The 25,434-nt window shown below is 37.6% G+C and overlaps 2 protein-coding genes and 1 long non-coding RNA gene across 23 annotated transcripts in view; 2 read left to right on the top strand and 1 right to left on the bottom strand.

Annotated features, from left to right (window-relative positions):
- The window catches only part of TMEM178A (transmembrane protein 178A), a 70,478-nt gene extending 69,169 nt beyond the window's left edge, over window positions 1–1,309 (top strand). The window contains exon 2 of the mRNA XM_024452702.2: window positions 578–1,309. Coding sequence (XP_024308470.1) covers window positions 578–663 — 86 coding nt within the window. The 3' untranslated portion in view covers window positions 664–1,309. The remainder of the gene's footprint in view (window positions 1–577) is intronic.
- Window positions 1,310–1,408: 99 nt separating this feature from the next.
- The window catches only part of THUMPD2 (THUMP domain 2 tRNA and snRNA guanosine methyltransferase), a 43,217-nt gene continuing 19,191 nt past the window's right edge, over window positions 1,409–25,434 (bottom strand). For 9 of the 20 annotated variants that reach the window (XM_011533119.3, NM_001321470.1, NM_001321469.1 and 6 more), the window contains 4 exons: window positions 21,238–21,309; window positions 20,644–20,758; window positions 9,719–9,827; window positions 1,409–2,408 (listed from right to left, as the gene is read on the bottom strand). In XM_011533119.3, the coding sequence (XP_011531421.1) occupies window positions 2,084–2,408; window positions 9,719–9,827; window positions 20,644–20,758; window positions 21,238–21,309 (621 nt within the window). In that variant the 3' untranslated portion in view covers window positions 1,409–2,083. Of the gene's footprint in view, window positions 2,409–9,718; window positions 9,828–16,441; window positions 16,540–20,643; window positions 20,759–21,237; window positions 21,310–22,596; window positions 22,718–25,434 lie in introns of all 20 variants that reach the window. The other 11 variants (NR_135662.1, NR_135664.1, NR_135661.1 and 8 more) reach the window with 4 other exon arrangements.
- On the top strand, window positions 2,344–20,693 carry LOC124905994 (uncharacterized). 2 transcript variants are annotated; one of them, XR_007086294.1, is made up of 3 exons: window positions 2,344–2,427; window positions 6,246–6,338; window positions 17,630–20,693. It is a non-coding gene; the product is annotated as an uncharacterized LOC124905994 (long non-coding RNA). The 2 variants fall into 2 exon arrangements; XR_007086293.1 differs by lacking the exon at window positions 17,630–20,693 and having other exon boundaries at window positions 6,246–6,749.

A 25,434-nucleotide genomic window follows, 5' to 3' on the forward strand; every position in this document is an offset into this window, starting at 1 on the left:
TAAACAAGATCTGCTAGTTTAGACTGTCTAGACTAGTCTAAATTAGAGTGTCTAGACTAGCAAGTCCAAAACAGAATTTCTGATATTTCTCACCAAACCTGCAGCCTCTGCAGCCTTTCCTCTCTTAGTTGATGAAAACTCTACTGTTCCAAGTTCTTGGCTAAAAGTCTTCAGTCATTCCTGTCTCCTCTCCATTTATCATACCTCACATCTAACACATCAGTACATCCTTCTGGTTCTACTTTCGAAATACATCCAGAATCCATGTGCCTCCTACCAACACGACTGTTACCACCCTGGGGCAAGCTACCATTTTCTTTTGCCTGAATCATTGCAAAAAACTCCCAGCTGATCTCTTTACTTTCACCCTTCTCTTCCTACAATCAATTTGCAATATAGCAGCTACAGTATCCTAAAACATATGTTAGGTGACATCACCTATTCAAAACTCTTTCAGTGGTTTTGAGTAAAAGCTAAAGCCCTTAAAATAGTCTTCAAGGCCCCATCTCATCTAATATACCACCTCTACCTGCCACCCATTACCTTGTTAACCTAATCTCTCATCCTTTATCCGCAGTATCCACTATATGCCAGGAGTATCTCTCTCCTCCTTCAAGTTGTGGTAATCAAAAATGTCTGCAGACATTGCCATATGTCTTCTGAGGACCAAAAATTGCCGCTGGCTGAGACCCCTGCTTTAACCCAAGGAATAAGGACTACAGAAATCTTGCTTTTTCTTTGAGTTGTCAAGTTCTACCAAAAGCAGATAGCCCGCCTCATAGGGCTCGTATTCCTCAGGTTTTTGGTGTTTCCCAGAGCATCAGGTAAGCACAGGCATTATGAACTGCTTCACCATCACATGCCATACACTTTCTATAACACTAGCTGTATTCTCACTGCCTTTAACCCAAGTAGGCCAGATACCGAGTAACGAATTCACATTACTGGGGGCCTCTTGCTTGAAACCCCTCAGAGTATCAGTCTCCATTATCAGAGTCCCAGCTGTTAACAACACAACCACATTTACTTAGTTTTAGCAAAAATGAAATGTATTCAAGATTAGTAGGTGGCTCTTAGAATTTCCTAGGAAGGCCAGAGAGAGAAGCTTAGCGGTGGCTACGTAGCCAAGAGCAGTGCTGAAACCTCAGGAGAGGAATGTTCTGGTGAAGATCGCTTTGTGTTGCCACTGGGCACAAATGCCATAGCTTGCACATGGGTGGACCTGATACCAGGGGCCCAGGTTTCCACACCCTGGCTGGAAAACAGATTTTATGACTTCTGCTTTGGGGAGCTGATTCACAGGGTGGAAAATTACCCAAACATAGCAAAGTTGTTCAAATACCACTAAAGCTGCCAATAAGTTGAACAATTGTATCACACTATTGAAAAACATTAAACCAGAGCATATATTCTCCTCAAACTTACTGTTTCTTTTTCTCAGGTAGTGAACATAAGCAACAAACTGACTTTCTATATAAATAAGGGCGAGGTGACAGTGTATGAATGCTTTTAGAAAAAAAGCAAATTTCATTTTCCATCATGTTTTGAAGGATACTGGCTTAATTCAGTTATTATTCTCACTGTTGGTTTACATAATAAACATATAAAATGTATTGCAAATACAAATTATTTTCATTCCAATGGAGAAGAAAATTACAGGCTCAAAAATCAAGTTTAATATCAAAAGAAGTTACACATAAAGGTTTTTACATTTCCGAAAATCTGATAGTTAAAATATCCCGTCTGGTGTTGATTGTGATACACTTAAGTGAACCCCTGAAAACCTTTATTTTGAAATTGAAGTTTTTGCTCAGAAACTGGGCAGAACTTTTCACATTCTGACAGAAGATAAAACTTAAGTCTAAAAAATATTCGATAACTTTTTTCTCAAAAACATTAAGTACTTTAGAATATAAAGCAGAAACTCTTACCAAGCATGTGTACCCATCAGCCACACCTCCTGTCTTTGGGGGAATTTGGTTACTTGGAGCTCTGTGGGTGCTATATGAATCCTAGAGACAGCAAACTTCTGCTGTACAGCTAACTTACAAGGGCCTGAACCCGGCTGATGGCAGCAAGCCTGCTACAGTCCAGAAGAGTGCGACTTCTTATATTTACATATGAACGCATCTGTCTTTCCAAGGCTAACTTTGTAGCATTCCACTGGTACCAAGGAGCCAAATGGTGACATTCTGTCTAAGAATTTGTGGTTACTGGCTTCGAATGAAGTTGACGCTGTCTTGAATGCACCAGTTTTTTCTTCAGGATTCAAGCACTTTTTAATTCCAGGTTCATCTGTGTGACTGTCCTTGGAATTGAAAGGGATGTTGCTCTCTTTACAATCTGTAAGGCGCCTGTGGTGATCTTCACTAAGCAACAATACAATGGTTCCGCCAACATGAAGCACTCTGTGACAAAAAAAAAATGGTAATTGCTATCTTTCTCCTTTCTAGACAACAAACAATCCCACTTCATTTAAAATGGTTCATGTTTTTAATTTGAAATTTAATTTTATCCATTTAAATATAAGGATTTTTGATAATTAGGTAGTATCTTCTATAATGTATATTCATTATAGTAATTATGAAATCCCTAGTACAAATCTGCTTTAATTATCTATTTTTACTCAAAAGGCAAGCCTCAAAGTAATTTGTAGTCACGGTCTAATAAATGATTGTATAAAGGAAAAGGCAAATGACAGAATCCTAAAGACTGCATGTATTAAAAGCAGTAGCCTGACAGCAGAAGAAAGTTAACAGGAAAGAGTTAGGACACGAACAAAGAAATGGCGAAGGAAAAATCAGAAAAAGAAGGGCAGATCTTGAAATGTCAGCTTCTTGAGGAGAATGCATTTACTCAATTATCAAAGTCTATGTAGCACTTATGTGGAAAAAGTCATGAAAACACTTGCCTGTGTCCCGTGACATAGCCCTGTAAGTTGCCAAGAGATCACTGAACATCTCTTTGGGAGAGAGAGGCGAGTAAAGGGTGTGAAAATGCTATAATCAAGGCAAGCATGAGGGGCTTGGGAACATGAGGTGGGTCCCAAACCCGAGCATGGGACAGAGGAGAGAATTTCCCAGAGGAAGATACCTGTGCTATGAGTTAAAAGACAAGTGGGAATGAGCCAGGCAAAGCGACGGCAAGCGGCTGCAGCAAGGGAGGGTGCTGGAAGCAGAAAAAGCAGCAAAGACGGGAGGAAGTGGAGAGGAGGCAGCTCTGAAAGCAGCTCAGTGGGTGGGTGAGTCACAGCGGGTGGGAAGTGGAGGGAGGAGGGGAGTAAGGAGTTCAGCTTGGAACGTGCTGATGTACCTAAGGAACACATAAGTGCGGATTCCACCAGAGAGCTGGATACACAGCCTGGAGTAATGGAAAAGACCAGGCCTTGAGGTAAAGATACAGTAAATGGTAGCTAAAGCCATAATGGTGGATGGGATCACCTGGGGTGGCAGTACAGGTTGAGAAGAGAAAATGGGACAGGGAGCAGAGATTTCACATTTAAAAAGTGACGGAGGAGAAGACCCATGAAGTAGACATCCTCAGAGAAAATCTGGACAACAGTTATGTCAAGGAAGCCAAAGAAGTACAGTTTCAAGAAAGAAACAGTTTCAACAGTGTCAAATGCTATAGGGCCGGCATGGTGGCTCACACCTGTAATCCCAACATTTTGGGAGGCTCAGGTGGGAGGATCGCTTGAGCACAGGAGTTTGAGACCAGCCTGGGCAACATGGCAAAACATGTCTCTACCAAAAAAATACAAAAATCAGCCAGGTGTGGTGGCGTGTGCCTGTAATCCCAGGTACTTGGGAGGCTGGGATGGGAGGACTGCTTGAGCCCAGGGGGCAGAGGTTGCAGTGAGCTGAGATTGCACCACTGCACTCTAGTCTGGGCAACAGAGAGAGACCCTGTCTTTAAAATAAAATTATTTTTTACACACATACATATGTAAAAATATATATATAATATATATTATATATTTACATATAAATACATAATTTATATACATATAAATTATATGTATATATACACATATATACATATATAAATTATATATATATGTAAAATAACAAATGCTATAGGACTAACAGGTGATCAGGATTATGAGAAATCAGTGAACCCAGGGACAGCAATCCTAGCTGAAGGCAGGAGCAGATGCTCGTCTGCCAGGGTAGAGTGGGGCTGGAAACTGAGGAAGCAGAGGTGTCAAGTGTAGGCCATTATTTCAAGAAGTTCAGCTGTACAGGAAAAGAAACAGTGGCAGCTAAAGGACCAAGAGTTAAGGGGAATCTGCCTCATGCCCAGCAAAAATCTAAGAAGCTTAGGTAGCTTTCCCTAGTCTAATCCATCAGCAAAGCTAGACAATTCTGTCTCTAAATTGTATCACATATTTGTCTACTTCATTCATAGTTTGCCTGGACCACAGCAACAATCTGGTAGACAGGTCTTGTTTCCATTCTTGTCGCCCCTCCCACTCTGTCTTCCGTTTCCACACAGAAGACAAATGTAAATTCTTTGCTAACTCCTCAGTTGCTTGCACTGTACTTCAAATACATTCTAACCCCCTTACTCTGGCATCCAAGGCTCCTACACAATCTGACCCTTACCTACCTTTTTGATGTCACTGCCTGCTTTCTTTGCTTACTGACCTTCCTTCAGCTGCTCAAACTCACCAAGCTGCTTCTCACCTTAGGACATTTGGAATTGCTGTTCACCCTGCGTTTATCACTCATTCTTATCACTCACGCCCCACAGTCAAATATCACTTTCCCAGAGAGGCCTTTCCTGACTACCTAGCTAGGGTAGCCACTACTTTTCTCTCACTCTAAAGCAAAACATTTTGTTTTATGTCCATCACAGTACCAGTCATGATCTGACATTATCCAGTTTGTTTACTGATTAACCATCTGTCTTCTCACAATGAATGGTCAGAGACCTTGCCTGTCGTATTCACTGCTGTAATCCCCGGGGCCAAGTACATGCAAGTGCATGGGAGATGCAAAGACTTCCAAACGTGTCTGGGGAAGGGATAAATGAATCTCCTGGAAAGAACCGGCAGATGAGTAGGCAGAAGATAAAAATGAGAAGTGGGCAGAGTGTGATCCTTGAGGAGGAAGGAACTGAGAGGATAAACCCTTGCAGGAAGAGGGAAGCCTCTTCTACTGAGCAAGGAAGAAGTGGATGGGAAAATGAGTACTCTTGAAGACAGAAACTGAAGTAACTTTTTGGGGCAACAGTTTAGCAATCATGTATCAAAAATATGAAATGTACATAACCTTTGACCCAGCAATCTCACTTCTAGGAAATTATCCTAAGAAGATGTAATAGTAGTAGTAGTAGAATAACAGTGATAATAATGGTGATATAGCTAATATTTATTGAGTACTTAATATGTGCCAGGCAGTTGGATATGCTCTGTATTATGTATCATTTAAACTTCAGAATTATCTTTCTAAGTATGCTCTATAACACTGTCATTTTGCAGATGAAGAAACTGTGATACTGTGACTGTGGTGCTTGGTCATATAGTTAAGTTTGAAAAACCATGCAAGGATGTTCAAAGAATAGTTCTTTTTTAAAATAAAAAATTGGGGATTATCTAAATATTCATCCATAAGCACTGGTTGCATAATGGTACATACATATAATGTGGCAACCACTGAAAATTATAATGTATATTGTAACAACTGATCAGAAAGGAGATTCATGACATTGTTGAGTAGAAAAAAAGCAATGCTACAGTACATTAAGGACAATCCTATTTATGTAGAGTAGTAAACATGTATCCTTTTGTGCATATGTACATGACAAGATGCCTAACAGGACAGTCACCATTTATTGTAATTTTGTTCAAATAATGGAGAGAAAGTGAAAATCACCTGAAATCCTGCTACTCTGAGATGAACATTTTCCATAAATGTCCTTCTAGGCATCTTTCCATGATCATACGCACATAATTTCTTTTCTTTTCTTTTTTTTTATTTTTTTAGAGATGGGGTCACTCCGTCACCTGGGCAGCTTGATCATACCTCAAGCTACTGGTGTCACCTAGTTCATATACACATAATTTCTTTTCTTTTCTTTTTAGAGATGGGGTCTCATTCTGTCACCCAGGTAGCTTGATCGCAGCCCACTGCAGCCTCCAACTCCTGGGCTCAAGCGATCCTCCTACTTTAGCCTTCCAAGTAGTGGGACTGAAGGTGCATGCCACCACACCTGGCTAATTTTTAAATTTTTTATTTATTTAGAGATGAGTTCTTGCTATGTTGTCCGGGCTAGTCTTGAATTCCTGGCCTCAAGTGATCCTTCCACCCCAGCATCTTGAGTTGCTGAGACTACAGGTATGAGCTACTGTGCCCAGAAACACATAATTTCTTACTATGAAAGCTATTCAGAATTATAAAGCAATGTTTACCAAATTGTATTCCTTTGAACACTAGTGTATCAGTGATGATAATAATAAGAATACAATATTACTATTTCTTAAGAAAAAACTCTGCAGTCAGTAAGTTGGGGGAAGTCTGTATCAAACAGCATAAGAGATTTCCCTTTCGTATGTGAACCTGAAAAACTAGGAGTAGATGGTACAAATAATCTTAAATTATTTGTCCATGGAACACATTAAGTCTTAACCACCTACTATAAATCCTTTGCTCCAGGCAGTCTGGTATACTCATTGTTCCATGAACACACCTCCTGCTGTACTGCTCACTCAAGAAATACTTAATAAACATCTGTACATATAAACATGATGTGGTCTCCTTTTCAATTCTGTCTTCACTTCCAAATTTCACTGAAATCTGGCTTCTTCCTGAAACCATCTCAAGCCTCTTTGGCACACAATGCCTTCTTCCTTCAAGCGGTGCAAGGTGAATTTTTAATTTTGCTCATGTATTTGCACAGTTACATTTGAGGAGAAAACTCAAATGTACTTCTCTGAATTCCTGACAATGCTCTGTACCCATAATCCTTTAATACATTAAAGGAGGAAATAATTGAGCTGAGAATGCATAGCTCATGCCACCAGAGTAATCATTTATCTGACAATCTTTAATTCTGATTGCATGTCCTTTCTCGAAGAGTCCAGCTCTGTAGTACATACAGTACTATTTCCACTGCCTGTTATGAACAGGTTTGTTGTATTTTCATGAACACAATTTCCTATCCCTTCCATTTTCTATCTAGGGCCTTAAACTATCAGTAAACCATTGGGATAAAAATTATGTGTACTCCGATATATTTAAATATATCCTCACACACTTCCCAAAAGGATTTTCAGTGGTATACACTAAAAAATCAGGTAAGTGATAACAGATACTGAGTAAGTTCTAGGTGGCCAGCACTGTTGTAAGAGCTTTAAATCCACTGACTCAGAACAATGCCATTAAGTGGGTATTAAAGATAGGCAAGTGGTTAAGCAATATGCCTGTGACTGAAGAACTATTAAGTAATAGAGCCAAGAGTGGAACTCAGGTAGTCTGTCTCCAAAGCCTATACTTCACCACTATATTATGCCACACTGCCTGTATAAAACTTCAAACCATAAAAAAAACAAAAACAAAAGTCAGACATAAAGGTTGGGGACAGGTGGCAAGGAAGCTTGGTCACAGAAGGAAAAGTCCCTTATATCCAAATACATACACTTTAAACTGGTCCCACTGAGGCACTTTAGTTTTGCAGGAAGTCAGGAATATGCATTTTCCTGATTCTTAAGTATTTAAATATCACAATGTGACAATGTGAGGGCTGTCACATCTATTACTGTCTCATTTTCAATCAATCACCTGGAATAAAAACCAAACCCATCCTAGAGAAAGTCAGGCTGGTATAATTTACTAGGCTGAAAGAACTGTCTACTCATAATACTGCCCTCCACTGACTTGTAGAGGTGCTATAATATGCAGCATTAGATTTTCAGTTAGAGTAAGCCACCATCTCTCTGGAAGCTTCTAGGTTAAATGTAAATCGTTGCTCACACATTAGTATCTCACCATGAATTGGTTAAAGGTATAGATGCAGATTATCTAGTTAGGTTCAAAGACTGCAGTCATTAACTCTGGCTGCACTACAGCATCACCTTGGGAGTGTTTAAGAACTACCAATGCTTGAGTCCTCCACCAGATAAATTAAGTTAGCGCCTTCGTGGGGAGGGGTGGATAGCAGGGATCAGTATTTTTTAAAAGCTCCTGAAATGATTTTTATATGAAGTCAGGGTTGCCAAATCTGCTCAAGGTGAATGTGATATTGGGCAGCAGGGAGTACAGGTGCTCATGAAATGTCTGAATTATAGGTGCTGTCCAGAAGGAGAGGTCTCAGGTAATATTTCAAGAGTTAGGCAACTGGGTAGCAGGGAAAGTTGCTTAGAAATAAGATAATCCCTAAAGAAGCATGGGACACTCAGCTCCCAAAATGCAGTGAGATGACTTTTAGTTGAGCTTAGACTAAGTGTCAAGATTTAATTTTCCTTATAGAATGTTAGACTTGACCCTGATTTTTCTCCATCTAAAACACATGGCTCATATTTTAAATTGGTGACCCATTATTTACATAGCAGGCTCTTGAAATGTGTGTTATCAAATTCCCAGCTAGACAATTTAGTATCAACTGACCTCTTATATTCATGTCCATTCATAACTGTATGCATTCTATGTTCTCTTCTTCACCAATTTAAACCATTAGAAAAATGCATATCCATGACTCATTGTTTCAATCTCTCAAAGGAATGCTTCCACTGAATTATATTCCCTTAGGTCATTAGAAACCATAAGATGAATACTTTCACATTTTCATTTCAGAGCTGCTATAGTTTGGATGTTTGTCCCCCTATACCTCATGTTGAAATTTGATCCCCAGTGTTGGAGATGGGGCCTAATGGGAAGTATTTGGATTATGTGGGTAGATATCTCATGAATAGATTAATGCCCTCCCTGTGAGGGGTGATAATTGAGTTCTCACTCTATTAGTTCCAGGGAAAGCTGGTTGTTAAAAAGAGCCTGGCACCTCCCCCTTCTCCCTCTTGCTTCCTCTCCTGCCATGTGATCTCTGCACACCGGGCTTGCCTTCTGCCATGACTAGAAGCAGCCTGGGGCCCTCATCACAAACTGAGCAGATAGATGCTGGCACTGTGCTTCTTTTACAGACTGCAGAATCATGAGCCAAGTAAACCTCTTTTCTTTACAAATTCTCTAGCCTCCAGTATTCCTTCATAGCAACAGAAAATGGACAAAGACAACAATAAATAATAAGGTGTTGCCCATTCTATGTTATGGAAGGTTCCTTATTTAACAGAATTCTGTTCTGTTGTTTAGTAGCAGAGTGATCATAAGAAAGTTAATCTTTCTGTGCCCCAGATTCTCATCTGTTAAGTGTGGGGGATTAACACAGAGAAGGCAGGTTTTTTTTTTTTTTTGTGAGGGATGGAAGCAAATATGTAAAATTTTGCTTCAGACCACTGACTGAAATATAGGTCACTATTTCATACATTCAAATCTCAGTACATAATAGAAAATTAATATTTTTCTGAATAAAATTTATAGTGTAAGATGATATGGATAACATTTATTTCAATTATAAACTTCTGACTTAAAACCTTAGAAAATTAAGCTACAAAAACTCTGGGAAATTGCTAAAAAGCAATCAGACCTTAACTGAAGAGCTATGATGTATTTCGGTTAAATGCCCAGTAGCTAAAAAAATTATGAAAATAAATTCAACAACTTACCTTTCCATTTCTTGTAGAATGCTTTTGATGTCTTTTCCTAACTTAAACTTTTTCCCAAATGGAATGTCAGAAATAATAATATCAACACTTTCTGAAGGCAATGGCAATTCTGAAATATAGAAATCAGAGAATCCTATTACAGTAGGGTCAAATATTTACAACTTAAATAATGAGAAAATTGAAGTACACAGGATTATTTTTGCGTAACAGATTAACATTTAGGGTTGCTAATATTGTTTTAAAGTAATTACAAGATCCCAAAATGCTTTCACAATCACTAATGATAAATGATAGTTATTGTATTCTGTTCGTTGAAAATTGGTTTTTCAGATACAATAAAATGTAAGTTAAGCAGAATTTTACATTAGCCAGAAAACTCAATTCTCTAAATATATAGCTTGTATAGAAAGCTGCTAGCTCCACTAAATTGCCTAGAAAAATCTTCCACAAAATTATATTCTACAACTTTCATTTCCCATTTTAAAACTGTACGTTTAGATCTACTTGTTTTTGAGGGAGAGGATCCATAGCTATCATTGTATTTTTAAAAGAGAATTTGGAAGGTTAAGAATATCTATTAAGTCCTAAGACTAGAGAAAAGGCTACATAATCAATAATCAACACAATGATTATCACTAAAAATTATTGTGTCTGATTAATTCTAAATTGCTTTATCTTAATGTTTTCTTCTCAGAAGTTACGTTATCAGAAAGTAACACAGTACACTCTACCCTAACATCCACATCTTCTAGATGTACTTTCCACTTTTTACTTATTTTACTTCTCATCCATCTCCTAAATTCAGTTAAATACTCATAAGACAGATGTCCCAATTTTCATTTTGAATAGTACCTAATTTTGCAGAAATGTAATGAAATTTAAATAATCTTCACTAAATATCAAAAGTTTCTGTTGGTAGGAAATTTAGCAACAAAAAGTGCTTTGTAATCTCGGAAAGTCTAATGACTACTTGCTAGATCTCTCCTAGTTCTAACCCTTATGTGGGGTTAATAGAAGAAGAGTAGATTGTTCGAAAAAAAGAAGGATAATATTCTTTTAAGCTGAGACAGGAATTCCTTTTTTCCAAGTTATGTTTTAACCTCATGGTTTTAGGGTGTTGATATAGTACACATCCATTTACAAAATGACTAAAGACAATAAATAGACAACGAAGGCAACCATAGTTCTCAAATGTTTTATTTATGAGGAAGCATGTAGTAATTTACTTTTGAATTTAATCCCAAGTCTTTCTTTTGCCTCACACTACACACACAGTACCTACGTATGAGTTAGCTGCCCATTATGTCCAGGTTTAGAAACAATGATTTTTTTCTTCTGGGTCTCCATTTTTATTGGGAACTTTGCTGCTCTATATTATATAATATGCTAAAGTGCTTTAAATAAATTTAGAAGTTGAATACATAAACTTCATATAGATGGAAGAGAATAATTTTTAAAAAAAATCTCCAGAACTAAGCAGTGTCATCTTCCAATAGAGCATAAAATAATCAAAGCTTTTCTTGATGTGGTTGAGAGCATAAGCTCTGGAGTCAGACAGCTTGCATTTGGCTCTGCTGCTCACTAACTGTGGGACTTTGGGAAATTACTGCTTCAGTTTCTTCATCTGTAAAATGGAATAAGATTATGTACCTCAGAAGTCAATAAAAGAGGTTAATATATGGAAGACATTTAGAACACGGCCTGGCACAAAGTGAGCATTCAGTAACCGTTAGCTGCTTTGTGGTCATTATTTATAATGTCCCTCTCTGATGTAAATGGGAGATGACAGCCAGGTGGAAACCAGTGCGCCATCCTTCAAAAAAGCTTTGCAGAACACAGTAGTATCCCCTTCTCCCTCATTCTTGGGCATCCAAGGTTGAGGTAGGGCAACTACTTCCAGGTGGGCCTCTCTCCTGCTCTCCTTTCCTCTAGCAGTGGTTCTCAAAGTGTGGTCCCCATAGCAGTAGCATCAGTATCATCTGGAAACTACAACTTAGTGCGTATTAGAATCAACTGAAAGGTCTTTGTAAAACAGATTGTTGTCCCCATCTCCGTAGGTTTAGATGCAGGTACTCCTAGAACCATGAGCACCTGACCGATACGATTCAACATACAGTAAAATCTTTTAAATTATTAGATGCTTTAAATACTGCTTGTGAACAAAAAATTTGCTTGTAACTAATCAGCTAAGATTCTGAAATAGAAACATAGCTCAAAACAAGTAAAAATCATCTTTTTACATCTCTGCAGGATGATTCAAGAACATGAAAAAAAAATTTAGTTTTAAAATACCAGTTGTTTTGAAGAAAAAAACTGCCCTATTTTTCCTACTTCCAGGAGAAAAATGGGTAAAAATTTCCTAAAACTCAGGACTATGGCCCCAAGATACTTTCTTCCAAAGGGATTTATGGGCCTTCAAGATGTCTTTTCATGCATATATTTAAACTAAAGACCAGGTTCATTGAGCACTTTTATAAAACTGAACATATCCTTCTTCCTATTTTTGTTCCTTGTTCTTTCTGTTTATTGTCCAGGTTTATAATATTCATATTCTGTCTCCTAACAGTAATTCCCATAATTGTTTAAACTTAGTTCTACAGTTAAATTAATTTCATCCTTATCACTAATCATTTTGCCTTGATTTTCTCCATTTCTCAGCCAATTAATCTCTTAATGCCTGGATTAAATACTTTTCCCCAAAGGACTTAGTGTGAAATGTTGTCGGAACTTTTTCATATTTCAAAATGTTTGTCCTTAAGATGATGTTTTGGTTAGGCATAATATTTTTGGGTTACACTTTGCTTTGGTAACTTTGTAAATAGCATCTCAGAACCTTGTAAATAACCACTATTCTATTTTCAAATGCTCTATAACATTTTATTGTGGCCAAAATATATTTTGAGGTTTATTGCATTAGATTATGACCTTCTCTCGTTTGGTTGCTGAATTTGTTTTCTTTGATGATTACTATTCTTTTTCTCATTTCAGTAAGTACAAGAGGGCGTAAAGCTTTCAATGAAATTTTGATCTGTCATCTTAATCAAGAAGTCCATAAACATTAGTCTTAAACACGCAAAATGTAGTCTGACATCTGGATTGGGTCACCATACAGTTTATAGTCCAAATGAACATTTCTGAGAAGAGAATGCTAGAAATAACTATGCTCTTTATTTTATATGAAAATTATATGCTTTGAAATATTTGAAATATTTATTATCCAATAAATTGGTTTATTATGGTGGCCCTGAAAACGTATCTGTGCAAAATGAAATTTTTAAGTTTAATAAAAGACTTTTTTTTGAGAAAAAATAATTTGCCTACAGTGCTAATATCTGAACAAGTTCTAGTAAATGAAATATACTTTCAGTTCTATTTTTTCATATGGAAAGGGTAAATATTTCAGCCTTCCAGTTCACAGTCCCTCCATTGACAGTGCCTTTGACAAATATGTTTACAAAACTCAAATTATCTCTATTATTCTTTTAATTGTTTTACCAAATTTAGATGATACAAAATTAAGGCCTTCACAATTTCATTCCATTCCATTCTAGACTACAAATTTATCCAATTACAATAAGGAAAGTCATCAGGAGATTCTTTCCATACCATATCCAAAGAATATTTATAGAATTTCATAATTAAGTCTTGTGCATTGTTGAGCTTTCAATATTTGTTCATTTCTTCGTGTTTTTAGGGAAAGATGATCAATGTCTTCCTGCTGCCAGCTTTAACAACTGTAATTCACCAAAAAATTCAAAAGCTAATGTATTTTGGCACTTCATTTGTTGAATCCTTTGATTATAGATTTCCAGTATATTCTGAATAAAATGCCATCAAAATTAGGCAACTTTTTTTTGGTAAAGTTTATAGCACCACCCTAGGACACTTTGGCTGATTTACAGAGTAATTCTTTGAAGGCTTACACTTTAAAACCCAACTGATGGACAAGCAAAGAAAGTGTACTGTTATGCAGAAGCATTTTTTTTGCATTCAGTCATCTTCAACACAAATAGTTTGCAGTTCATCTGTTCTGTGTATATTTTAAAAAGAAGGCCGGGTACGGTGGTTCACGCCTGTAATCCCAGCACTTTGGGAGGCCAAGGCAGGTGGATCATGAGGTCAAGAGATTGAGACCATCCTGGCCAACATGGTGAAACCCCATACAAAAATTAGCTGGGCGTGGTAGCATGCGCCTGTAGTCCCAGCTACTCAGGAGGCTGAAGCGGGAGAATTGCTTGAACCCAGGAGGCGGAGGTTGCAGTGAGCCGAAATTGCGCCACTGCACTCCAGCCTGGCGACAGAGTGAGAGTCTGTCTCAAAAAAAAACAAAAAAAGTGGCCAGGTATGGGGTGGCTCACACCTGTAATCCCAGCACTCCGGGAGGCTGAGCTGGGAGGATCATTTAAGACCAACCTGGGCAATACAGTGAGACCCCATCTCTATTTTTTTAAAAAAGAAAATTAGCCAGGCATGGTGGTGAGTACCTCCTACAGTCCTAGCTACTTGGGAAGCTGAGATGGGAGGACTGCTTGAGCCCAGGAGTTCGTTCAAGGCTGCAGTAAGCTATTATCAGACCACTACACTCTAGCCTGGGTGACAGAGCAAGTCTCTCTCTTAAAAAAAAAAACAAAACAAAATTCAATTATTTTGACAAGTGTCTGTTTCAATGGACACTACAGCCTGTTTGGAGGTAATTATGAATTATATGGGTATAACATTAAATTTCAAGTGCATTTCTGCTCCATAGGTTTTAATAAGAATATTAATTTTTAGCATGATGTTGTGGCCCACCAAAGTAATGCATAAGCACACAGATTGGCAATGCCAAACTGAATTCACAGTAGCATTCACAAAGAAGTTGCATCTTTGACAGAAAAAAACCCTATGAAATTTCGAAGAGAGTAAAAAAGAAACAAAGCTACTACTGGAATTGACTTAACTGATTATCTTTCTAAATTATGTGATGATATTGATACAAAACTGGCAACATTTAACTATCTGCAAAGGTCTTCTGCTAATGAAGCCAGCACATTAACAGTACCAGCTTCATTTTGCTTAGGTGCATAACAAAACTCACAATTGAATATGAGCAAAATAAATTTAGAATAGCCATTTGATCTAAAGGGAAAGTCATACTTCACAGAGTGATATTTTAAATGCATTTTCTTCAGTTGCATGTGATAAATTGTTGGCTTTGGGCCTAGCATTCTTAGAATTACTAAGTTTTTATTTTTTTTCCTTCAACTTTTAAGTTCCAGGGTATATGTGCAGGATGTATGGGTTTGCTACATAATGTGTGTACCGTGGTGGTTTGCTACAGATCAACCCACCACCTTGGTAATAAGACCAGCATCCATTAGCTATTCTTCCTAATGCTCTCCCTCCCCTCCCACCTCCCCCTGACAGACCCCTGTGTGTGTTGTCCCCCAACCACGTGTTCTCATCGTTTAGCTCCCACTTATAAGTGAAAACATGCAGTGTTTGGTTTTCTGTTCCTGCGTTAGTTTGCTGAGGATAACAGCTTCAAGCACCATCCATGTCCCTGCAAAGGACATTATCTTGTTCCTTTTTATGTTTACACAGTATTTTACGGTATATATGTACTATATTTTCTTTATCCAGTCTGTCACTGATGGGCATTTGGGTTGACTCTGTGTCTTTGCTATCATGAATAGTGCTCAAGTGAACATATGTGTGCATGTATCTTTATTCTAGAATGATTTACATTCCTTTGGATATATGCACTGTAATGGAATTGCTGGGTCAAATGGTATTTCTGCCTCCGGATCTTTGAGGAATCACCACACTGTCTTCCCAACGGTTGAAGTCATTTACACTCCCACCAACGGTGTAAAGGCGTTCCCTTTTATCCACAACCTCACCACCATCTGTTGTTTCTGGACTTTTTAATAATCGCCATTCTGACTGGCATGAGATGGTTTCCCATTGTGGTTTTGATTCGCATTTCTCTAATGATCAGTGATGTTGAGCTTTTCTTTGTATGTTAGTTGGCCATATGAATGTCTTCTTTTGAGAAGTATCTGCTCATGTCTTTTGCTCACTTTTTAATGGGGTTGTTTTTTTCTTATAAATTTGTTAGGCCAAGGCGGGTGGATTGCCTGAGCTCAGGAGTTTGCGACCAGCCTGGGCAACATGGCGAAACCTTGTCTTTACTAAAAATATAAAAATTAGCTGGGGGTGATGGTGTGTGCCTGTAATCCCAGCTACTTGGGAGGCTGAGGCAGGAGAACTGCTTGAACCTGGGAGGTGGAGGTTGCAGTGAGCCAAGATTGCACCACTGCACTCCAGCCTGGGCAACAGGGCAAGACTGTTTCAAAAAACAACAAAAAAAAATTGTTTAAGAACTACTGAGTTTTAAGATAAATGCTAGATCCCTCTATAAACAGACTTGTTTCATTTGGTCAGTGATATCGCCATGGCCTTCACAGTAGGATTGTAAATATCAACAAATATTGACTCAAGTTATATGTTCATCAGCTGTCTTAAGAAATAGAAGCTCAATACTTACTTTTTCATTAAAAATGCATTTTTAAAACCTTATTGCTTCTGAAAGAGTTTGTTACAAAACAGAAGTGTTACCAAACAATAAAAAAGGACTTATACCATAAAATAAATGATAAAGCTTTAGCAGCAAGAACATGTGAACTACTCTCTATGTTGAACTTATCCCCTATTTTCTACACATATTTCATATACACCTACCCCATCACTTTCCACATTTCCCTCTGATTTCCCAAATGGGCAGCCTGGCAGCTTCATGAATCTTGCAGAATACGGCGTGGGCCATATAAGACACCTGGCTAGAACACCAAGGCCAAGCCAGCAGAGGCATGACAGGCAGCAAGGAGAAAACAAACCAGTATGAAAGAAAATGCAAACACCTTATTATGCGGTGCTTATGGGTGTCCTGAAAAAAGCATGCCATCTTACTACAAGAGTGGAAACACTTGAGAACAAAGCACAACTGTTGCCAATAATCTTGTTATAAACCTACACTTAAGTGATGTGTGACCAGCTACAGAATGCCTAATTGGAAGGAAAGAAAATATTTCCTTTTAGCTATAATTTTGCCATTTTAATTAAATCATAAATGTGTTTCTTTTGCTCAAATCTGTTTATGTTATAGTTTCTATCTTATACTGAGAATGTAAATATATCTGCAGATTTAAAAAAGCCTAACTAATGACTAATTGCTATTTCCTAAGAAAACTTATAATATTCATTTGATTCTAAATTTTCATAACGATTAAAACTTAGGAATAAATACATATGATTTATTCATATTAAAAGATTTTTTTTTTTTTTTTTTTTTGAGACGGAGTCTCGCCATGTCACCTAGGCTGAAGTGCTGTGGCACAATCTAGGGTCACTGCAACCTTCACCTCTTAGGTTCAAGCGATTCTTCTGCCTTCCCCTCCCAAGTAGGTGGGACTACAGCCACTACGCCTGGCTAATTTTTTTTGTTTTTGTAGTTTTAGTAGAGACAGGGTTTCACCATGTTGGCCAGGCTGGTCTCGAATTCTTGAGCTCAACTGATCTGCCTGCCTCAGCCTTCCAAAGTGCTGGGATTATAGGCATAAAGCCACTGCGCCTGACTAAGATAATTTCTTTTTATATTAGTTGAGGGTCATAAAACAAAGTGAATGCTTATTAAAAAGGTAGAAAAAATAAAGTCATTAATGCACACAGAGGCTGAAGATTGTGATTTTATAGAAATGTAAGTCATAATAGGAATGATTATTACTAACTTCCTAGGTATACCAACATACCAGTGCTTACAGATGTCTTACTAATTCATGCTGTGTGTTACACACTGTACTCTGTGTGTTTATGTAATAAATCCTCATCACAGCCTTATGGAGTGGTATTATTATAATCTTCATATTACAGATGAGAAAATAAAGAGAGGTCCAGTTTTTCTGCTGAAGGCCATACAGTGAAAAAACGATGGTGGAGCTAGGATTTATACTTGGTGTGACTCTTAAAGTCGGTAAGTGTTCTTAATTCCTATAGTAAAAAGGCATGAGATCCCTTAAACAAGGGATTCACATATCTCAACACTCTAAATTGTATTTATAATTAGAGCTCTTAAAAACCAAATTAATGAAGAAAATAAACGCTTTTATCTAGCCTGAATGTTTACCTCTGAAGTAGGTGCAATAAAGGGCTAATTATTAGTTAAAATTGGCCCCTGTATTAGCAAGACATATAGTTCCTCCTAGACTGAAACTTAATACTAAGAGGTTGTGATGATGAAACAACCTAAAACAGATGTTTTATTCTTTCCTCCAGAAAGTTATCCTAAAAACAACTCACAGAAGAATCATTTACAAATGATATAATATGAAAAAGTTTATCTCAGTAGTAATGAAAGGTAAATTTAAGCAAACCTATCAAATGTGTAGAGTTTAAAAAATTGTAATAAAAATTATAATCTCCAGTATCAACAGTGGAGAAGAGTGCACTTATGTCCACTACCGGTTTGGTGTGACCTGTTTTAAGGTTTATTCTCCTCCCTCTGCCTTCCCCTGCTCCTAGAAGTGCATGCCCAACCACTCATGCACTGGATCCCATCCTTTTTCAGGGGCCTGGATATAGCAGACAAGCAATTCTCCTCCTTCCTCCGTCATGCCAAATTCCTCCTTTTCATTTGATCTTTCTCTTTAGTGAGATCAAACATTCTATATACAAAAAAATTCTAACTTCTATGTTCAAAAAAACCCCTGCTTGATCCCCAATATCCTTTCTTTCAGTTACTGTCCCATTTCTATGCTCTCCTCATTAGCCAAACTGCTCAAGAAAATGCTCTAAACTAGTTGTTTTCAAGTTACCTCCTCCCATTCTCTCAAGAGCCCCTCCAGGGAAGCTGCCCTTGACTTCTGCAGTCACCAGGCCTCATTGTACTCCACCAATGAGAAGCAGCTGACACAGCTGATCTATCTTTCTTCCCCGGATTTTTACTCTCTTACATCACCAGCTGTTCCTTTACCAGATGCTCACCTTCCAGAAGTCCAAGCATCTGAGTACTCCAAGGTTCAGTCCCCTTTCCCTTCTCTACTTACACTCATTCCCTAGGAGATCTCATGAAACTAAATGTTCTCTATACTGGTGATTCTCTATACTGGTGATCCCCTAAACTCCAGATTTGTATACTGAGGTACTAACTTGACATCTTCACTTAGAGTCTAATAATCGTGCGAAATTTAACAGGTCCTAAACTCTAACTTGATCCACCATCCGTCTTCCCCATCTCAGTAACGACAACTCAATCCTCTAGCTGCTCAAGCCAGAAAGCTTAGAATGTTCTCTCTCTCATAGTCCACATCCAATCTGACAACAAATTCTGTTGGCTCTGTCTGCCAGATGTATATCTGACCTTCTCTCGACATCTCCTTGAATACCACCTTGGGCCAGGCCACTGTCATTTCTTACCTGGATTATAACTAGAGTTGCAACAGTCTCTTTCTAGTCTCTCTGTTACTGTCCTTCCCTCACTAAAGTCTAAGAGGAATCCTTTCAAAACTAAGATTTATGCAGTTACCTGGTACCACAGAGAACCTTTAAAAAGCACACACACACAAACAGTGGAGCACTTCTGACTGTTTTTTAAATGAAATCTTTTAGAAAATGCCCCCTAAAGTGAAAATACATAAAAGTGAAGCTGGGAGTGCAACAGAGGTCCAATGGCCAACTCAGTACTCCCTCCTTCATGCCTACAAGGTGCTTTGGAGAATGTAAAGGGATTGAAAACTCACTGCTCTGGAACAATTTAGGAACCAATTTCAGTTTTCTTAAAGGTTTCAAAGAAATAGCATTCTTAAAGAAATTAGGGATCATGAAAGCTTGCAGTCTAGTCACCCCTTAGTTTGCTCTACAAACTTGTGTCTCCTGCACAGAGTCCTATTAAAAACCTTGGCAGAAAGGCTTAAAAATAAAAGTCACTGGCAGCAAACAACTATGAGATCTCAATCAACAAGACAATTTCTTCTTTGGGGATGCTTTATTATGCTTTTATGCAAGTTATCCTAGTATTTTCTTCTGTTGATACTCATCTTTACTACTTTTCCACTACAATAAAATTTCTTAAACGTATTTTATTCCTCCTGATTATAGGTCTGATACTGGGACCTATCTACTACCTATCACTGTCAACAGAATACAATGTTCTTACCTGGGAATTAAATTCACTCATTATTTAAGGGAGAGACATATACTGGGGGAATAAGAAAAAAACAAGGAATAGTTTTTAAAAATTGTCTAAACGCCAGGGATCTCAGGAAAATATTATTTTGATTGGCCTCAATAGACTTGATTCCTAGTTATGTGTGTCACTGCTGATTCCCCTTCATTAAACAGGGTACTGTTTTCCCTCTACCTCACAGGGTGGCCAACTGTCCTGGTTTACTCCAGACTTTGCTGATTTTAGCACTAAAAGTCCTGGTTTAGCAAATTGGGATGGGTGGTTAGCTTACTCCTGTGTATCTCACGGATACTGTCTAATGTGAGGCAAGACAGTAAGATAATTCAGAACATTTCATATTATTTATTCAAAAGAAATTCAAAGAATTATTATTACACTGCTTTCTTTATGGCTATTTTAAACGATCACTGGTTCTGATACGAGAAATGGTTCAGATGCAACACTTTTTTTTTCTTTTTTTAACAAACACATTTTAAGAAGTCATGCTTTACATGCTTACGAAAACTATAGAATTGTTGCTTCCCAATTATGAACACTTTGAAAATAAAAAGGTTAGACTATTAGAAGTAAACTGAGTATTAGTCCCACAGATATATTAAAGGGTAAAACCAACCTTTACATAGTGAGACTTGTTTTATATTATGATTCTAAATATATTTACATTGTTCCTTTTCTCAATTGTTTTGCATTTTTAGTATCTTACCTATAACAGAGATTTTAAGTAATTCAATTTTATCCTCAAGGCCTGCAGCTTTCAGATTGTCCCAAGTACCTAGTAACTGTGAGTCGCTGACATCAGCACCTACATAATACACATCCTATGGGGAAATAAATATTTTAAGCATAAATAAAATTATTACATATTTCATGTAGTTAAGAAAATCGACTTGCATTTTCTCAAATGACAAGTGAAATTAGTAGATTTTAAATTCAGGTCAAAACACATTTAGGGTATTCTTTTAAAATCATAGTAGCAAAAAATGTAAAGTTTTTGTTAAAATTTTAAAAATCTGTTAACATTTACAATGACAAGTGTCTAAAGAATTTGAGGATTAGTATAATCTAGGTCATGACTAATGATTAGAATTCTCTCATATTTTCCTAAATTTATCATAGTATTTAAAGAAACAACATAGCAATTTCATTAGTCCCTCATCATCTATTTTGAGTAAATAATAACTCATATAATTAAAAATAATCCCCAAATAGACATTCTACTTGTAAATAATTGGTGATTATACTACATATACTGATTAAAGTAGATAAATTGCTTGCTTTACCAAACTTTAGAACTTACTGGCCATTCTTTAGCAGCTTCCAAAAGTATTGTTCCAAGTCCACACATTGGATCTAAAACAAATGCACCAGCCTGCAGACAGAAATATTAATTTGGTATTATTAAGACTACCATAGTACGTACTATAAAAGAAACCTAAAACTTGAGGAATCAATATTTCAAGAGGAAAGATTACATTTTAAAGGGGTGGTGGCTGAAGGGACAGATGGGTTCAGGGGAGGGTTTTTATTTTTTTAAGTTGAAAGATATTTCAGCAGGTGTACATGCTGATGGGGATGACCCAGTAGAAGGAAAAATCCCTAAGTCTACAAGAGGCAATGGAATCCAGCACACAAGTATTAGTGTGGAACAAGGACAGCTCCCTTATTGTAATGACAATAAGGCAGAGTATGTGGGCATAGATTCTGGTATGCTGGTAGACTTGGTGAGGAGAACATGCAGAAGTTCTCTTGTGATTCTATTATTTAAGTCAAATAAGAAGGAAGAGAGCCTGAGAATGGCGTGAACCTGGGAGGCAGAGCTTGCAATGAGCAGAGATCGCGCCCCTGCACTCCAGCCTGGGCGACAGAGCGAGACTCCATCTCAAAAAAAAAAAAAAAATGGCAAGGAAATGACTATAATGATCGAACTTTTTAAAATACAAGCTGTGAAGGAGGGATGAGCACAGGTGGTAAGGAACACGGGTCTGGTCAAATGACTGGAGGGCCCCGTGGGGTTAAAGATTTGTGTTCGGGTAGCAGAGGAAGTGAACAGGAAAGAGGAGGTGGTTAAGAACAAGATTCCTGAATACAAATTATCAATACCAAGCCGATGCCACGTGTAAATTCAAGCTTTGGCTTGACAATTATACGGTAACAATCACAAGAAGACAAGCATCTGTGGTGCGGAGGCAAGCAGGCTAACTAGAAGTTGACATGCTAAGAAAGTGAAACTGTTCTTTCTTAGTTAATGGTCTTTCTCCGGAGCTCTGTTACTCTGAGTATAATATTTCCATGACACTTAGTAAATGCAAGCTAAAATGTAATAATAATAATAATAATAATAATAATAAATGGTATTGGAGAAAAAAAAAAAGAAACTGAGATTTTTGGAAGAGATACCCTTCTGGGTATGACAAGGTCTAGGATGTGACTACAGCAGATGAATAGGGAAGCCAAGAAATGAAGAGGCAGGTTACTGAGTGGTTAGAGACCAAAGAATCATGACGGGATAATGGTCTGTACTCTTACAGGAATGAGAGGGAGAGAACTCTGACTGGGGTGATCTGATGGCATGTGCTTCAAAGGCACTATGAGGTTCTGGGCAGACGGGAGAAAACAATTGTCTAGAAGGGGCAAGGAGGAGCAAGCAGGAACGTACCCCACTGTCAGGCCCAGTCGTGCTCGAGATAGGGGAGAAAAGACATCCACCACTTGATATGTCTACAGAGGAAGCAGAGTCCTCAGTGCACAGCCAGGTTTCAGTCAGAGCCATATGGTACCTAATGGAAAGAAACAAAATGTTCTTCAAGAGACAGAAGCCTTCCCCTGGTACTAAATTTTAAAGAGAATATCACACAAATCCCCCATGAAGGGGCAGTAAGGAGCAGAAGGAAAAATTTAAATGCAAATTTTGTTGAAAATTGTTAATAGCATGAGAACCCATTTTTATTAGGATCTCAAATGTGCCATACGCTGTGCTCCTTCTCTCCCATGGTCTGTGTTCAATGACATAATCTGACCTGAAGTATCTTTAGATGGCTTTACTTTACCTTAGGACCTTTTCTTGCCATGACACTTGTAGACACAGGCTGAGGTAGAGATGTATTTCTGTATACTTACAACAACAATTAAGATTTATAGAACTTGATTTTCCTTGTTATGATATGTAGGAAGGAGAACAGTTTATAGTAAACATGATAAATAACAAACATCCCATTTTTAAATTTCATTTTTAGTGGCACTGGCCTTACCCAAGGCTGAGCTGTCTGTGTACTGCTCTGGGTACCAAGCTCCAAAGAGGGAAATGGATCAGGTTGGATACTGGGGTCACTTAGATTGTGGGTCACTACCACATTCCCTCCAAAAGAACTCTACTATGCCATTTCCTAGGTTCTTTAACAGACCTCCTTTGCCAGTGGTCACATTTGGAGAGACATTTCTTACTTTTTGTAGTCCCAGGGCAAATACACAGTAAGGAAAAGTTTTATCAAGCATTATCTTTGTATATTTTTGATCATTTACTTTTGACTTTTCTGAAAAACATGTTTATATTAAAACAAAGGTAACATTTCAAATGTGTAGGTGATTATATAAATTTATATTTAAATACAAACTCTGGTGAAACCACTGGCAGTTTGGGAAAAAATTAACCATACCTCTTTCTTTATACTAAAAAAATCTGAACTAAACATTTAAATCAAACAAAAAAAGAGAAAATCATGGGTTCTGGGTACCTGGTAATCTGAAAGAGGCTCCCTCCTCCACTCTCAACTCTAAGCTTTTTGCTTCTGCTGAGCCAAGTGATGCTCAGACCTAGAGGCAACTGGCGCTAAGAGAAGCCCTAGGCTCTGTCACAGTCCCAGAAAAAGGAACATGTGTGGGGCCTCCCTGCTGTGGGTTGGGTAGTGATTAGAGAACAGCAGTGGAACCCAGAGGGGAGAATCAGTGGAATTAGGGAAGAGCTTGGTCTTCAGAGATCTATGGACTCAAAGAGAGGTCAGTGAATAGAGAAGCTTCCTCCAGGTATCTCAGCAGGACTGACAGATTCTCTTTACACTGCTGAGCCTGGGGTGCCAGAGATCCATTTGCCTTTTACCATTTATAGGATTCTGGCCATTTAAAATACTTAACAGTCACATTTTAGTCCTAGTGAGCTAAAACAAAACACAAAAACAAACAAAAACCAATGGCACATCTAAAAAAAAAAAAAAAGGAGGAGGTCCCTCAGTAGTTTTAGAGTAAATAGGCAGAATAATCGGAACACACACCCAGTAAAATAGAATTACTAATTACTGGAGAACACAGATCAATATTTGAATAAAAGAAGAGCTTTCAGAGATACTCAAATGTGACACACATACCTTTTGAAGCTAAAAAGTCAGGATTTTTTTAAGCTAAAAATATAAATAAATTAAAATAGAGCATGTCTCTGTGACTCTTGTAATTTGGAAGATAATGTTCAAGAATAACTAAAAATGCAGGGCCAAAATATAAAGAGAGGGAAATCATGTCAAAAGGATAGGAGACTTGGAGGATAGAGCCAGGAAGCTTAACATGTTCATAATAGGAATTTCAGAAGTAGGAAAAAGAGAGTAGTTTAAAGTTAAATTCACTAAATAGTTGAGGCAATAATTAAATAATGGAAGAAAAAGTGCTTAGGCCGGAGAAGTAAAAATAAATAATAATTTTTATAATTATATATTTGAAATAGTAATTATAGTTCTAGTTATTAACTACAATTTTGGTATAATTATTTATTATTACCAAAATGGCAGCTAATACTTAGACACTTTCTGTATGTTAGGCACTGTTCTAATCATTTTATTAATGCTAATTCATTTAATCTTGTCATGATCCCATGAGATATTACTACTCTTTTCATCTTGCAAATGAGAAACTGAGGCACAAAGATCTTAAGTATTCCGCCCAAAGCTTCCCACCCAGAAAGTGATGGCCAGAATCTAAGACTCAACAAGGTCTGGGCTAAATAGAAAAGACATATACATAAGCATGTTCTGGTGACATTCCTTGGCTTTAAGATTAAAGAGAAACACCTTACAAGTTTCCAAAAAGAAGGAACAAAGTAGTTATAAAGGAAAAGAAAAAATCCCACTGGCATGGTCTGCTCATCTGTGTCACCGGAAGCTAAATGACAATGGAACAGCATCTACAGACCTCTGAGAGAAAAGAACTGCAATTCAGGAATCCTATACCCAGCCAAGATAGAGATACCCAGGATAACAGGAAGAAATTTGAAGATACAAAGAATTCAGACAGTATATCGTTTAAATACCACATTTGAGGAAAATACCTAAGACAAGACTTTACCCAAGCAATAAGTAAACCAGAGCAGAGGCCTCAAACAGGGCAAGACAAAGAGAAGAAGAGAAATGGCAAAAAGCAATAAACCTTGTAATGTATCTTAGTGTGTGTGTATATAAAAATATGTGTGTATTACGTGGAATTCTATCTAATGACTAAGAATAGGCTGTGTAAG

Source organism: Homo sapiens, chromosome 2 (genome assembly GCF_000001405.40).
Source record: "Homo sapiens chromosome 2, GRCh38.p14 Primary Assembly".
NCBI lineage: Eukaryota > Metazoa > Chordata > Mammalia > Primates > Hominidae > Homo > Homo sapiens.